Source organism: Homo sapiens, chromosome 7, assembly GCF_000001405.40.
Source record: "Homo sapiens chromosome 7, GRCh38.p14 Primary Assembly".
In the NCBI taxonomy this organism is placed as follows: Eukaryota; Metazoa; Chordata; class Mammalia; order Primates; family Hominidae; genus Homo; species Homo sapiens.
This window is the reverse complement of record NC_000007.14, coordinates 21815739-21832161: the sequence shown is the minus strand read 5'-3', so window position 1 is coordinate 21832161 and position 16423 is coordinate 21815739. Positions and strand designations below refer to the sequence as shown.

At 36.7% G+C, this 16423-nt stretch overlaps 1 protein-coding gene and 2 long non-coding RNA genes across 3 annotated transcripts in view; 1 reads left to right on the top strand and 2 right to left on the bottom strand.

Annotated features, from left to right (window-relative positions):
- Positions 1-16423, bottom strand: part of DNAH11 (dynein axonemal heavy chain 11) — a 358801-nt gene that overhangs the window by 69678 nt on the left and 272700 nt on the right. The window contains exons 64-65 of the mRNA NM_001277115.2: positions 15460-15695; positions 13823-13945 (exon numbers count right to left, since the gene is read on the bottom strand). Of these exons, the coding sequence (NP_001264044.1) occupies positions 13823-13945; positions 15460-15695 (359 nt within the window). The remainder of the gene's footprint in view (positions 1-13822; positions 13946-15459; positions 15696-16423) is intronic.
- On the bottom strand, positions 4619-5951 carry LOC107986775 (uncharacterized). Its single transcript, XR_001745115.2, has 2 exons — positions 5390-5951; positions 4619-5120 (listed from the first exon to the last, which is right to left on the bottom strand). It is a non-coding gene; the product is annotated as an uncharacterized LOC107986775 (long non-coding RNA).
- On the top strand, positions 15692-16397 carry LOC124901599 (uncharacterized). Its single transcript, XR_007060248.1, has 2 exons — positions 15692-15975; positions 16117-16397. It is a non-coding gene; the product is annotated as an uncharacterized LOC124901599 (long non-coding RNA).

The following is a 16423-nucleotide window of genomic DNA, read 5'->3' as shown; positions in this document are numbered from 1 at the left end:
CCCCAATTAAAAGAAGCATGAGGTTCTCACAATTTTGCTTCTGGGTGCAAGTGACAGAAGCTTTTTTTTTTTGAGATGGAGTCTCACTCTGTCACCCAGGCTGCAGTGCAGTGGTGCAACCTCAGCACACTGCAAGCTCTGCCTCCCGGGTTCAAACAATTCTCCTGTCTCAGCCTCCCGAGTAGCTGGGACTACAGGTGCCTGCCACCACACCTGGCTAATTTTTATATTTTTAGTAGAGATGGGGTTTCACCTTGCTGGTCAAGCTGGTCTCAAATCCTGACCTCAGGTGATCCACCCGTCTCAGCCTCCCAAAGTGCTGGGATTACAGGCGTGAGCCACTGCGCCTGGCCAACAGAAGCTTTTAACTGGTTAAATGTTTAATCAAGTATCTGAGTTAACCTCCGTAAGATGCTTCATGGATGACTTCCTCACTCTGTGTCTCTCTTGCATATCTATGTATATCCTGAAGCATACAGGATTCCAGTTTGAAAAGCAGAAATGTATCTGCTTGGGGAATAGGTGTTATTTTCTCTGTGAAAAGAGAGGTTAATAGAGGGGGGGAGGATGCTGCCATGCTGTTGGAAAGGAGAAGGATGTCTGCCTATAAAACTGGGTTTTACATCTTGCTCTGAAACATTATTTGATATGTTTAGATTTCCCAGGGATAGTAAATTATACTCAATTGGGGTGTTTATGATCTATGAGAGGCAAAAATTATATAATGACTCAGTGGGTTTTATCATTGCTGCTAAATTAATTTTTGGTTAATTTCCTATCTGGGAAAATTAAACAGACTGCTAATGTTCTCTCATGACTTGAAGGATCAAAAAGCTACAAAGTTAACCAGAGGGGTGGGAAAAGCAAACAGAATCACTTTGTTGTTTCTGTGAAAGACATGAATCCAGAGGTTATGACTTCTAGAACACTGAAGGTAGCTATGAGCTCTTGAACTTAAATTCCAAATAGGAGCAACAGCAGGTGTGAAGAGCAACATAAAATTTGGAAGTGTGGCTACTTTCTTAAAACAGAGGTTAACCTTAATCCATCTTCCAGCTCCACTCCCCACAGGAACAAATTACACTGGCCCTTGTCACTGCATCACACGGAGAGTCAAGTGGGTGTGAATCTCCAAATCTGGCACGGGGCTGCTCCCATAGGATTTTTATACATCCCTCTGCAGGAGTGAGCTCCTCCTCTGTCTCTTCCCACTGGCTGAGATTTGCTGGTTTGGAGATGAGAAGCTGCTTAAGTAATCTCAGAACAGAAATAAAATTATTTTTCTGAGTACAAATACCATATATTTGTACTGAGTACCTATTATGAGTACATAAATATAATATGTACTCCTATTTCTCTGAGTACAAATGGTTTAATTGGCTAGGACATGGGGTGAGTAAAAAACATGCTGTTTCATCTAGCAGAGCATAATATTAGATCAAGAAGAGCCACTAGAGATCACTCAACTGATTTTTTTTTTATGGACCTAAAGAGTTTATGGCTTGGCCAAGGTGGCTTAGCTTAGAGGCAGAGCTGGGACTAGAACCTGGGTCTCTAGACTCCTAGTATAAAGTTCATTTCACTGCATAACATTGCAGGTTAATTTGCTCTGACAGTGGCAGCCTATAATGTCAGCCTCTGTCAACCTGCCTGACTTTCTATCACAAGAGGGTACTGAGAGAATATGATCGACTCAGTAACAATTGACTGCCACTAGAGAAAAACAACAGACACAGTTCAGAGCACACGCCCTGCTAGTCTTTGGTCAGAAACTCTGTCCTTGTTTATGAAGGGGAATAGCAACAACTACCGAAGTATCAAATCCTCATCTGAGATCTATAATTTCTGGTCAATAGATTCATAAATTGAATTATTAATTCATAATTTTTTTACAATAAATCATTCAACTTGTATAAAAGTTTTCTACTGTTTAGCTCTCAGGGAAAGAAAATGTATTAAGTGTGCCAAAATGTTTGCTAGTTAACCAAATGAATTATTTTATAATAATGACAACCGTCTTCAAATACGTATCATCTATAAATTAACCTTTCAAACGTCAGATATGCATAAAAGCCAGGTACACTGGGAATATCAAAATGCTTTCAATGTTTATTCAAAACCCAGCCAAAAAATTAGTGTCCTGGGGCAAAAAGACGTCTAACTTCTTCAAATCACGGAAAGTCGTTACTGTTGGAAGATAGCTATGCAAATCACGTTAAAAACACTTGGGAATGATTTCTTGGCTAGTTTTCAAAGTACTTCTGTGACAGAACAATTCAAACACTGTTCCCAATGATCAGTTTCCTGAAAACAAGAATCTCTGTGAGCTGAGAGAGGAACCATTATCTTAATATAACCAAGACGAGAATTTCAATTTAGAGATTATTATCTGAAATTCTTATTTCTAAAATCTTCATCTGAAAACGAATGATGCCCCTTTTACTTTTATTGGAAACGTTCTCAAGATTTAGTATAGTTACTGTTGGAAATGTCATCAGTATTGATTATAAAAACCAAAATGCATTTATTTAGCTATCAGATACTCTGAGTACCTGAACAAACACCATCACTATTTTCCATTGCCATCTAAAACCAAACATGGAAAGCAACATATTTAATTTGGAATCAAGACTTACTATTGTGGTAGACCAGAGTCTTTATTAGAAGTGGCTTTATTAGAAATGGCTGCAGTAGGAATCTTTTCAAAAGATTTGCAAAACCTGCTGTTTGGAGAGAGATTTCCTAAGATATTGTATTATTATATTGAAGGTTCTCACTCTAAGTTGGACAATTCAGATAGCCAACATGTTCTCTGAATAGGAGAAATTCCATTCTGGAGGCTTCATCAGAGGCATTTTGTCAAGGTAAAGAGATAGTAGCTGCTTTTTAAGATAAGCAAATAATATAGCCTACTAATTGGCGGGGGGTGGGGGGAAACACATTTAGGAGAAGAAATAAACTTTTCAATGGACATCTAAAAGCCTTACTGCACATCCTGCTGTTTAAAATTAAAAGCTTCTAGATTAGACTTGGGAATTCCAACAGCTACAGTCAAGAGTGCAGCGGAAAAGATCAGGTGTAGCAAACGTAGCAAACCACAAGAGGGGAGTTGTTACTTAGCAACCTCAGCGGGAAGGGCTGTGCAAGTTGGTCAAACCCATTTCCCGAAGAAAGGTTTTGGTTGAAAGCTGCACAGCTGGCAAGACGCTCAAGGAAAAGAAGGAAAGAAAACCCTGAATAGAAATGAGTTAATTGTCTTGCTGCTTCATACAGTTAATATAACCAACACGCCCTTCTAAGATAAAAGCAAACTTCAACCAGAATTAAACAACAACAACAACAACAACAACATTGGTGTTTCAGGAGTCCAGGTAACATTGTACAGCAAAAAAAAAAAAAAACCCAGAAAAATGAAAAAAAAAAGTCATAAGTAGATTATTTCTCTTTTGATACACACCTACACACGCTTCAACATATCCATATTTAAACATCATAATGTAGCATCAAAAACAAAGACAATTTCATTTGTTTGTTATTTTATTGGAAGACTGCTTTTTAAAAAGAAAATAAAAGAATCTGAGGATTCTTTATCTGAAGCCCTGTTTGGTATTTATTTTCAGATAAAGTCAAACAACTATTACCAAGATGACTGAATGTGAGAATGCTTTATCTGCAAATGCTAAAGATTACACTATTAAGGGAAAAAAAACTTTACTAAATTTAGGAATAGAAAAGCTGTTGCAGATTTGTGGCAATTAAATTTTATTTTGAATTTGGAAATTAGAACAGACTGGAATGCTGAAGTCTATTATAGGAGAGCATGAATGAACTTGAAAATAAATCTATTCTTACCAGCAAAGGAAATAATGAGAGAACTACATAACTCTAGAGTTTATTTAAAATCCATAAGCTAGGCCAGGCGCGGTGGCTCATGCCTGCAATCCCAGCACTTTGGGAGACCGAGGAGGGTGGATCACCTGAGGTCAGGAGTTCAAGACCAGCCTGACCAACATAGTGAAACCCCATCTCTACTAAAAATACAAAAATTAGCCGCGCATGGTGGCGCATGCCTGTAGTTTCAGCTACTTGGGAGGCTGAGGCAGGGGAATTGTTTGAACTTGGGAGGTGGAGGTTGCAGTGAGCCACGATTACACCACGGCACTCCAGCCTGGGCGACAGAGCAAGACTCTGTCTCAAAAAGAAAAAAAAAAATTAAAAAAAAAATCCGTAAGCTTCCAGCTCAAGAAAGTACATTCTACTACAGTGTAGCGTTCAATTTAACATGTTTCTATCTTAAATCTCACCTAAGTCCTCATTTGAATAGATCTACAGTCAACTATAATTGCATGGCGTCAACTCCAAGAACAGAAACATAATAATAGTTAATAAACTGGAAAGCTGCTAACTGAAAGCAATTCTTCTTAATCTTAGCATAACTTTCAGGAAATCTAGTCATTATAAAATAAATAAATATAAAATGCCATCTCCCTCTATTTCTGTAAAAATAAATTTTTTAAATCATATAGTTAATATTTCTATTAGCCAATTTTAAGTTCCTTTCTAGAGCATGCTACTTTAAGACTATTATTAAAATAATAATTGTATGAAAAATACAGAATGAAGTATAAAATATCTTTTAATAATATATGTATATACTCCAAAACAACCGGAAATACATATTGCAGTAAAGTTACTCCAGTCTTTCAAAAATTATAATAATATTTAAATAATATTTTAAAAAATTCAAAAATATTTAGGGGTATTTGAAAGATTAAAGAGAATTTTATGAAGATGCTTCCCAGATCAGCAACTTCTCTAATATGTAAGCCAGTAAATTTGCTTTGGAAAAATTACATGTTGATAAATCTTTCCAGATACATTTGCTGTCGATTGATATAAAATATGTTTTATTTAAAATTAGGATTGTCTGGAGCTTGGTGGATTTAATTATTTGTAATTACCCAGCTGTTGTCGGCCTGTGGCCATTTTATGACAGTGGTATCTACTGTGTGGGCCAGGTTCACCTGTATATCTTCTCAAACACAGATTTAATGTGCTATTGATGAAACCATTACTCGAACCAAATTAAAGTCTGGGCTGATGTATTGGTCCACAGGGAGCTGTCAGACATGAAAGGAGTAATTAGTATTCATTACTTCACACTCCACAACATTCCAATTATTAATGAACTTCAACTTTTGGACTATGCTTTATCTATCACAAACATTTCTCAGACATTCATTATTAGGAATAAACTAATACTGGTTAAACAACAACAACAACAACAACTCCCCCAAACAAATAGAACTAGAATAAACAAAAACACTATTGATAGCCAAAAACTTTCTGAGGGATGTGAGTTTCTCAAAGGAGGATGGTGTTATCCCACCTGAGTTTGAGGACATGATAAAGACATTCCGGGTGAATGTGGCAGCTCAACAGTCCCTGTAGGTTGTTTTCCTGGCTTTCTCTTTTCAATGCTATCTCTTGTCTTTACAATACCAAGGAAAATGTTTGTAAACCCACAGGTTACACAGAGATAGTCACATAGGAAAAAAAAAAAGAGGATAGAGAAATCAAGTAAAATGTTCATTGTTGGAGGTAAACAGGAAGATCCATTATAAAATTTACAAACATGTAGATTAATTTTCAAAAATTTTCTGTTCTTGTTATAACACTGCAAATCAGTAGCTCTATTATTAAATGAATACATAGCAACATTTTCCCCTTAATTTTCTTTTATATTTTCTCCCAACTTTTACTGCATTGAAAAAAGAAACATAATTCCTATTCATACCAATCTAATTTTTATTTTACCATATCTCCTACTTTGCATATGTATGAATACTTTTTAGTTTCTCTCCTTTCTTTTAAAGAGTTAGATGAGGAAATAAGAAAGTCTTTATTTTGTTTTAAAGATACTTCTTATCAGGCAAAAATAATGCAGTAACAAAAATATCAAAATTTATTCAAAATGCTTTTTAAGAAAATGACTTTTATAGATTTATGGGGTACAAGCGCAGCTTTGTCACCTGGATATATTGTGTGGTGGTGAAGTCTGTGCTTTCAATGTAACCATCACCCAAAAAATATACATTGTGCCCATTAGGTTACTTCTTATCCCTCACTCCCCTCCCACGGTCCACCTTTCAGAGTCTCTAATGTCTATTATTCCATCAAAACACTTTTTTTTTTTTTTTTTGGAGACAGAGTCTCACTCCTTCGCCCAGGCTGGAGTGCAGTGGCACCATCTTGGCTCACTGCGAGCTCCACCTCCCAGGTTCATGCCGTTCTCCTGCCTCAGCCTCCCGAGTAGCTGGGACTACAGGCACCCGCTACTACACCCAGCTAATTTTTTGTATTTTTAGTAGAGAAGGGGTTTCACCGTGTTCGCCAGGTTGGTCTCGATCTCCTGACCTCATGATCCACCTGCCTTGGCCTCCCAAACATCAAAGCACTTTTTAAGCATTTGTAACACAACTATTTTGAAAGCTTAGAGTGCCCTCAATTTGTTCATTCAAAAATAAAAGTGGGAAAAAAAAAAAGGAGGCAGGAATAGTTCGTCATAGGAAGAGGTGGCTAATAGTATTAAATGTGGGAAATCTTTTGGATTATAAAAAACAGCAGAAGCATAAAAGTCTCTCTCAGTTCTCTGAAAGACTCCACAATTCTTATATACTACTAGTGAGCATGTACATTTCTAAACACTTTGGAAAACAATTTGGCATTATCTTTTAAAGTTGATTGTGCATAAGTTCTACAACCCAACTATCTCACTATAGAACATAAACACTGAAGAATCTTGCTATGTGTACCTGTAGTTGTATGCATGAATGTGTGTACCTGTAGATGTATACATGAATATTCAGTAATATTCATAGCAGCATCACTCATAATAGCAAAACATCTAAAAATAACCAAAATGGCCTTCAATAAGAACGCTAAATAAATTGAGGAATAGTCAGTCATATCATTGAATATCACAGTAATAGACCCGGTGTGGTGGCTCATGCCTGTAATCTCAGCACTTTAGGAAGCCAAGGTGGGCAGATCATTTAAGGTCAGGAGTTCGAGACCAGCCTGGTCAACATGGCGAAACCTGTTTCTACTAAAAATAAAAAAATTAGCCAGGCCTGGTGGCAGGCGCCTGTAATTCCAGCTACTCGGGAGGCTGAGGCAGGAGAATCACTTGAACCTGGGAGGTGGAGGTTGCAATGAGCCAAGATCCCGCCACTGCACTCCAGCCTGGATGACAGAGCAAGACTCTGTTTCAAAAACAATATTATAGTAACGAATTTGCAAGAACTAGAGCCAGAAGGAGCAATGTAGATTAAATCTTAGAAACATATGATTGAGGGAAAAAATCAAGTCCTTTTAAACTATATACACCATAATGGTATTTTTATAAAGCTCCAAAAGAATATGTTGTTTCAGAATACACACACGTGTTAAAACATTATTTTAAATAAAACAATGAAGTGATAAGCAACATTCAGAATCTTCACCTTCCTATGTCTTTGATTTGCATGTTCCCGATGACTAATGATGTTGAGCATATTTTCATGTGCTTATTGACTATTTGTAGTTCTTTGGAGAAATGTCTATTTAGATCTTTTATTTATCTTTTAATGGGACAGATCTTTGATCTTCATATGCCTGTCACATTCTAGAAACTTGACTAAATACATATTTATTTACTGAATTAAAAATATATTTTATGTATGTTATTAAAAATATTAAGTAAATAATATTTACTATGTCCTGTCTGTTAGACTTTATGGAACTGATACATCATTCCAATATGTGAACATTGGCTACCTTTGGAAGTGGAGGCAGAATTGTCAAGGAGGGGAGCACAAAGGTAGCTTAAAGGATATTGGCAATAATCTGAATGGCAGATACATGTCTAATTTATTATGCTTTATAACTTCATATATTATGTATTTTATAGGTATCAGTATTAAATAATAAAATTAAAACACCCTAAAAACCCAAAATACTCCTCCTAGGATGCAACTAGTATAGGACATTTTTTCTGCCTCTTCTCAGTGCCAAGCTAGAAAAGGAAAGTTTTCTCAGTTTAGCAATTGTTTGTGTGTGTTTATTAATTTTAACAAATTTACCCTTAAACGGAAGGTGTGTCCTCTAGCTTTATACAGGAATCTCTTAGCAGACTGCATATCCTGAACAGGCTCTAGGCTTGTTCAAGCTTTGTACATCATCAAAAGAGAACCCCAAGGTCATCAGGTTTTAGCAGGCACCCTGAAGAAGGAAACCATCTTTGGTGTTCCTTGTCTCTCGGAGTTCCTGCTTTTTAGTTGCACTTTTTCTTTTTGTCAACTCAGTAACACATTTCGAAAGGTGTTTTTAATATTTTAACTAATATATTTAGTTTTTGTCTAGTATTTGAATACTTAATCCACCTAGTAACAGAAATAAAAGTTTTATGTTTGTATTGCTCTGTTTTTGTTTTGGTTAACCATCTTTTTAAAGGCATATAGTATATGATTCTTATGCATAAAGAACTTATTATAATCAAAGTTATGTATGAGTGAAAAAAATTAAGCATATTGTAAGGGGGAGAAAAAAATGGCAAAATGACACAGGGAAAATATACTATGTAAAGGAGACATTAAATAAGGCAAATTAAAATTTCCAGTTAACACTTAACTGCTATTGGCTAAATAGCAGTTAAATCCTAAATATAGTGAATTTAGGCTGTGAAAAGAAAAGTTAAGTAAAATAACATATCACAGGAGGGGGGATTATCTGTGTCAAGAAGAAATGAAAGGGCTGGGCTATGTTATAGGAAACTGCAGGTATGAAAAACATAGTTTCCAAAACATTGATGGGGAAACAAATGAGGCTTAGGAAAAAACCGAGGGGGGAAGAGTTAGACTGGTAAAATGGCACTCATAAAAACCCTATCAAAAGATAGTAGTGCCTGTTTATTTGAAAAAGCTTGTTAAAAGATTTTGGGGATAAGACCTCAAAAAGAACAGCAACAAAAGCAACAATATACAAATGGGATTACATCAAGCTAAACAACTTCTGTACAGCAAAGGAAACAATCAATGGAGTGAAGAGACAACCTACAGAATGGGAGAAGATATTTGCAAACTATCCTTCTGATCAAGGATTAATAACTAGAATATATAAGGAACTCAACCCGATAGCAAAAAAAAAAAAAAAAAAAAAAAAAAAGCAAATAATCTGATTTAAAAATGGGTAAAATACCTGAGTAGATCTTTCTCAAAAGAAGACATACAAATGGCCAACGGGTATATGAAATGTGCCCAACATTATTAATCATCAGAGAAATGTTAATCAAAACCACAATGAGGTACCGTCTCATTCCAGTTAGAATGGCTATTATCAAAAAGACAAGAAATAACAAATGTGAGAAAGGGGAACACCTGTACATTGTTGGTGGGAATGTAAATTAGTATAGCCACTATGGAAAACAGTATAGAGATTCCTCATGGTCATGCCACATGATCCAGCAATATGGCTGCTGGGCATATATCCAAAATAAATGAAATCAGTATATTGCAAAAGTATCTGCATTCCCATGTTCACTGCAGCAATATTCACAATAACCTAGATAAGAAACCCTTTTGAGTGTCCAACAATGGGTGAATTGTGATACAGTTTGGATATTTGTCCTCTCCAAATCTCATGTTGAAATGTGACCATCAATGTTGGAGGTGGGCCTGGTGGGAAATGTTTGGGTCATGGGGGCAGATCTCTCATGAATGGCTTGGTGTCCTCCCTCCCTGTGGGAATGAGTTACCTTGAAATATGGTTGTTTAAAAGAGCCTGGCTCCTCCTGCCCATTCTCTATTGCTCCCTTTCTTGCTGTGTGACATGTCTGCTCCCCGTTTACCTTCCACCATGATTGTGAGCCTCCTGAGGCTTCACCAGAAGCAGATGCTGGCACTGTGCTTCTTTTACAGCCTACAGAACCATGAGTTAAATCAAACTCTTTTTAAAAAAAATAAATAAATAAATTACCCAGTCTCAGGTATTCCTTTATAGCAATGCAAAACAGATGAATACAAATGGGTAAAGAAATTGTGGTATATATACACAGTGAAATACTATTCATCCATAAAAAGGAATGAAGCTGTCATTTGCAGCAACATGGATGGAACTGGAGGGTATTATGTTAAATGAAATAAGTCAGGCACAGAAAGAAAAATATGGCATTTTCTTACTCATATGCAGGAGCTAAAAAATCGGGTCTCATGGAGGCAAAGAGGAGAATGGTGGTTACAACAGGCCAGGAAGAGAAGCTGGCGGGGGAGGTGGAAGATAAGGAAAAGCTGGTGAGTGGGTACAAAAATACAGTTAGAAGGAATAATTCTAGTATTCAATAGAATAGTAGGAAAGTTATAGTTACCAATAATTTATTATATATTTTAATATAGCTAGAAGAGAAGAACTGTAATGTTTTCAACACAAAGAAAAGTGTTTGACGTGGTAGATATCCCAGTCATCCTGACTTGATCATCACACATCGTATACATGTATCAAAATATCTCATGTACCCCCAAAATATGTACAACTATGACGTAGCAATTAAAAAACATAAAAAAGAGAAAAACCTGTTTAAGAAACTAGGTTTTCACATAAACTTCATATAGCGATAAGGTATGCAAGAGGACGTTAATTAATGTCTCTGGGTCCCCATTTTTCTCATGGGAAAAGAGCAGAGGCAAGACAGGGTACCCTCTGTTTTTCTGGCTGTACAGAGTCTCCCTAGATAATCACATCCACCATGATAGCATAACTGCTTCGCCAGATAGATATTCCCCAATCTACGTGGTCAACCAACATCCTTTTACTAAGCTCCATACTCAGATATCCAACTGCTTTTTAGACTTCTGTTTTAGAAATGAGTGTTAAAGAAGTACCTCAACCTTTGCATGTCTAGTAAGAGAAATTATTAGTTCTTTCCCTACACTTACTCTCATTCCTATATACATCTCTCCATAAAGCACAGTATCATTTACCTGACAGAAGGCAGAAGAAAACATCCTTAAATCTTCCTTTTTCCCCACCATAATATCCAATTAATTACCATAAACTGGTGGTATTAACTCCTTGATATCACACTGATTTGTCCCCTCCACTCTTTCCACTGTCACTGCCTAAGTTTAGGCTCATACCATGTCTCAAATGGATTACTGCAATTATTTACTAACTAGACTCTGACTCTAGGTCCACGCCCCTTCAGTCAATACTTTCAGAAACATTCATCTGATCACATTGCTTCCAGTGTGCCCAAGAGTTCTTACTAGCTTCCCCACTGACTTATGATCATGATTCTCAAGTGAAAATATGGAGACTCCAGGAAAGCATGGTCCCTTAGTTAAAAACAATTGGTACTACCAACTAGTGTAACTGATAAAAACAGGCCCCTTGAGTGTATTTAGGAGGGGTTGGAAATTATCAACACATAGCAAAAGGCCAACCTAGGGATCAACCAAGGAAGTCTGTGCTCTGGGTCCTGCTCTCCTCTCCAGTCTCATCTGTCCCAGTCCACATCCTTCTCTCTTCCTCCCCAACACAGACTCTCCACCCATTTGGATTCTATTTGCAGTTCCCCAAAGCTGTTGGATTGTTTTGTGTGTTTTACTATTTGAAATTAGGGCTCTCTGTCCAGGATTCTCTTTTCCCACTTGTCTACCTCACAAATACCTACTTAACTTTTGAGTCTTGCATTAAACAAAATGTAATCAAAGGTAATTTTTTCCAAGAAGTCTTTCCAAGTCTCCACTATGGAACTGACAACTCCTTGCCATGTATACGTCTATCACCACACCAACGGTTCTGCTTTACATTCACTGATTGTTTATAGGTCTATCTTTACTTATGGAAGTGTAGCTTCCTCAAGTGCAGGGTCTGTGTCTTATCACACTAAATCTGCAGCCCCCAGTATAGTACCTGGCATATAGCAGTGCTCAGAGAAGGTTTACTCAATGACTGACAGGATATATAAGGACTCCACTGGCACTCATAGTCTCTGGGTGAAGATAGTCTAAAAACATCTGCATGGAAGAGGGAAGGAGGAACAGCTGATGATAGAGAGTTGAGATTCACCCTCAAACAAGTGGTTGTTCCCACACATAAGGGTTTAGGAGCCAGGATTAAGGTAAGAACTGCATGCAATCAGCACCATTTGTTACATTCTTAACAGATTATCTTTAATCTTCTTGGCCTTAAAAGAAATGCAAGAATGATATGATCAATTCATCAAGGCTTAACAGAGAGTACATATTCAGTAAATATTATTAATTTGAATTAAACTGTTCTGGCCTGATATTTTGTGATAAAGACTTGAAGCTCTATGTAAAATCTGTTTCTAAAATTGAAGACCTCTAGAATCCTCACTGATAGTTAACTACGTCCATACTGAGAATCATGACTCAAATTTATCAGCCTTTGGAAATTTCTGATTATCCAACTATATATGTAATAAGAGTCATCAAATTGCTTACACCTAAATTGTGCTATTGAAAGTTGAAATTGAAGCTCAGAGAACATGCATTTCACTGATAAAAATTTTAAGTCTTCATAATAGAGTCAGAACCTTAATAACAAGGATTTCACTTCAGTGACATTCAAGATTTTACACTATATTTTTAACACATCAGACACAGCTACAATTATATTTATGTTAAGAGTTGCAGTTTGTCAAGTGGCTTGTTAGATTGTTCTAAATGTGTGCCTGGGTAAATTTTGGTTTATTAAACAATTATAAGTTGTCAGTCACTCTAAATGGATTTACTTAGTGATTGTATGATAAATACCATACTAATCAGTTAGAGACCAAGAAGTTAGTCACCCTGATGTAGGCCTATTTCCACTTAAAATTGACAAGAATAATCTAGTGATGAAAAAGGGGACAGATACCTTAGAGGCAGAGCGTGGGCGTTAAGAAAGAACAGGGTGGGGGAAGTTCTGAAATTATATATCTTTGAAGAAAAAAAGAAGAGAGGGAAGGAAACTCAGTGAATTAAGTCTAGTGAATGTCGGTTGTGTGAAGAGGCATAAGGAGTCTCTTGAGTGCCAGTTTCCCCTATGCCCACCCAGACTTGATTGAAGACACAATTGCTGCACCTGACCTTTCACACATTCATAGGAAAGTGACATGATGACTCCTCAGAAATGGCTTCAATGCCCCTGAGAGAATGTTCTGGAAAGTATATTGTCTTGGGGGAATGGCAGTCTCTTAGAAAGTCACATATAGCTCCTGGAGGGGTAGGGGGAAGTATTTCTCTGTTGTTGACAATCCATTACTGTTGGCATAAGGGATGATTTCAGGGACCCACTAATGAACTCTCCTTTTCCGAATGGTTACATTTTAAGTATATTAGAAAAAACAGAGCTAGCACAGTAAACCCATGCTGATTTTAAAAAATAGTGAATGGATTTAAAATCTAATTAAAGAAAAACATTAAACAGGGTACAAGTGATATGTAGATAGGCAGCCCTATTCAAGGTGTTCTGCAAATTACTGAAGTTAGAGAAACATTGGTATAAATTTAAAAAGAGGCAACGATTCTCAGATTTATAACAATACATTTTTTGGCCCATAAATCAGGAATTGGATAAAACAAATCTAAATCCATCAAATAAATAGTCTGAAAGTCTGGATAATGTTGCAGTTGCTTTGGTCTTGGAGTGTAGGTGCATGAAATGGAAACTCAGAAATATCACTAAGATTTCAATAGACTGCTTGACTATGAAGCTAAGAGATGCTGCTGCTGAAAATCATTTAGCAAGATATATATGTTAAAAATTCAAGAATACTTACTTTCCTTTTTTAATTGTGTTCCTGCCAAGTAGTGGATCCAGGACTGGATCTATCGTTTCCTCGAGATTTTCAATTAAGATGACATCACCAAAGGCCAAAGCAGTTTCAATGGCATTCAAAAACCTTAAAATTCAGTGGGATTTGAGATAATAAAATGTAAATTGGCACAAAATGTTCAAAATTTTTTAAATGATCAAATTATATTTAATGTAGATATTCTAAATGGGACAAACTTAGAGAAAACTATTTTATAAAGTAGTAGTTCCCTTCCACTAGATTACACAGAAATTAAAGATGAGATTTTAAGATACATTTTAGTCATATTTTCGAAGTGAAATTTAATAGTTTGAACTAATAAATCTATGTATAGATTAGTTGCTTGTAATAGCAACTGTAGTTGAAATAAGTGTAAGTTATCCAACTATCATACATTTAAATTCATTTGATGGCTCTTTTTTAAGTAAAGTTTCATGTATTAAATGCTTTAAACTTGATCAAACTTTTATTTTTTTAAACCTTTACATTTAGTCACTTAAAATGGTGAGCTATCATTTTATTTTGGTCTTACTTTCCACAAAATATCTCCCTACCAAAAATAATTTTCTCCAAGTATTCAGACAAACAAAAACTACATCAAAAAAAAATAGAGATGGTGGTCTCACTCTGTTGTCCAGGCTGGAGTGCAGTGGCATGTTTATGATTCAATGTAGCCTCAATCTCCTGGGCTCAAGTGATCCTCCTGCCTCAGCCTCTCAAGTAGCTGGGACTACAGGTAGGCACTACCATACCTGGCAACTTTTTTTTTTTTTTTTTTTTTTTTGGTAGAGATGGGGGTCTCACTATGTCGCTCAGGGTGGTCTTGAATTCCTGGCTCCAAGCAATCCTCCTGTATCAGCCTCCTAAAGTGCTGGGATTATAGGCATGAGCTACTGTACCTGGCCTAAGAACTACATTTACTTGTATAACTACAGAAATTTCTTATTTCACTCTACATATAAAAAGAGGATGGAAGGGTCAAGTGAAATATCCATAGTTCTAAAATAATTTATTCAACATTAACTGAATAGCAACTGCATACAAGACAGCTTTCTATCTATCAGACAGTATTATCATGATGACTCAGTAACAGAAATTCTTGGAGTAGATTCAGGTCTCAAAAGTGACATGTAAATCTTGACTAAGATAATAAATTAACTTCAGGCACCCAATGTTGGGACTTGTAGCCATGTTAAGATCCTTCTATAGGCGGAGTATAGATTTAGAAATATGACCGTAAACATCATGAAGCCCGGAGGCACCCTTGACAATTCTTGTGTTACTATCCAAACACTCCAGAGAAGGAATATAATATATATCCATTCTTGGCTTTAGAAAATTTACATATTTTCCCCCACAGACCCAATGTTTGTTCTAACCTTCAATCTTATCTCTTCTTCAGATAATTGGGTGCCATCCAACAAGAATGCCTTTTCAACAGAGATACTTTATATGAAACATGAACAGGCAGATAAACAAATAGCACCAAATTGTAATACATCAATGTGGTGGAGAGGTCTAAGAAACATCACGCCTTTATAAAAATCAGACCCACTTCACAGCAGGTAAACAGAAAGCCAGTCTCTTCAAACTTCACATACCCTTTCTGGCCCAAATGTGTGACTTTCAGGTCCATTCCATACTTATTCTTGATCCACTTAATTCCCTGTTGCTGGGGATCTATCACCAGAGGCCAGCGCTCACAGTGTGTTAGGATAGCGGCATTTTCGGTGGACATTCTGTCACTGGGCAGTCCTTCGTTATTCCAGGCGGCAATTGTAGCATCATCCGTCAACATGGATATCAAGTCCAGGCCTTCGGTTAGTGGAATGGAAACCTTTAAAATCAGAGTTGAATGCAACAAATTGGTCATGTGGCAGAGAGAGAAGACAGACAAGAAAAGAAGAGAACAAAGTCATGAGAAAGTAACCCTAGGTAAACACATGATAATTTTCTGTGGATTCTCAGAAGCCAAACACAACTCATCATTAGATGCAATTTGACTTGATAAATCCAGTATTTACATCTCAGAATTCTGTGAACTGTGGGATTCAACATCGGTTTTATCAACTGCATCTACTGGGCTTCAACTGAGAGAGACTTTGCCCCACACTTAGGTAAGAGTGAATTTACACCCCAGGAAGAATGGCAGGACACCAGAAATATATTTGCCCATGGAGCAATCCATGCCCCCCACCCCCACATAAGCAATGCTAAAATTCAGTATCTTGCTCAGGCACTTCATTTTTTTTCTACAGACCAGTGCTACAAAGAGATGACCTATCTCTCTGGGATGGATTAATGGAAAGTATTCAGTTCACTGGAACTCCATCAACTCCTCAGTTGTGCAAAGGAACTTAGGATGTCACTTCTAGGCTGAGAGGAAATTATCTATGCCTTGATTGCGTTGCAAAGTAAGGGGTTGGGGAGGGGCAATCGAGGAGGGAGGGGCAAGTGGGGTGGAGAGAGCAATCCATTTTAAAGAATAAGGATACTTCTTTATAAAAATTGACAACAATAAATAACGTTGTGGCAAAAATTGTATTAAAGAATGTATATGTTCAC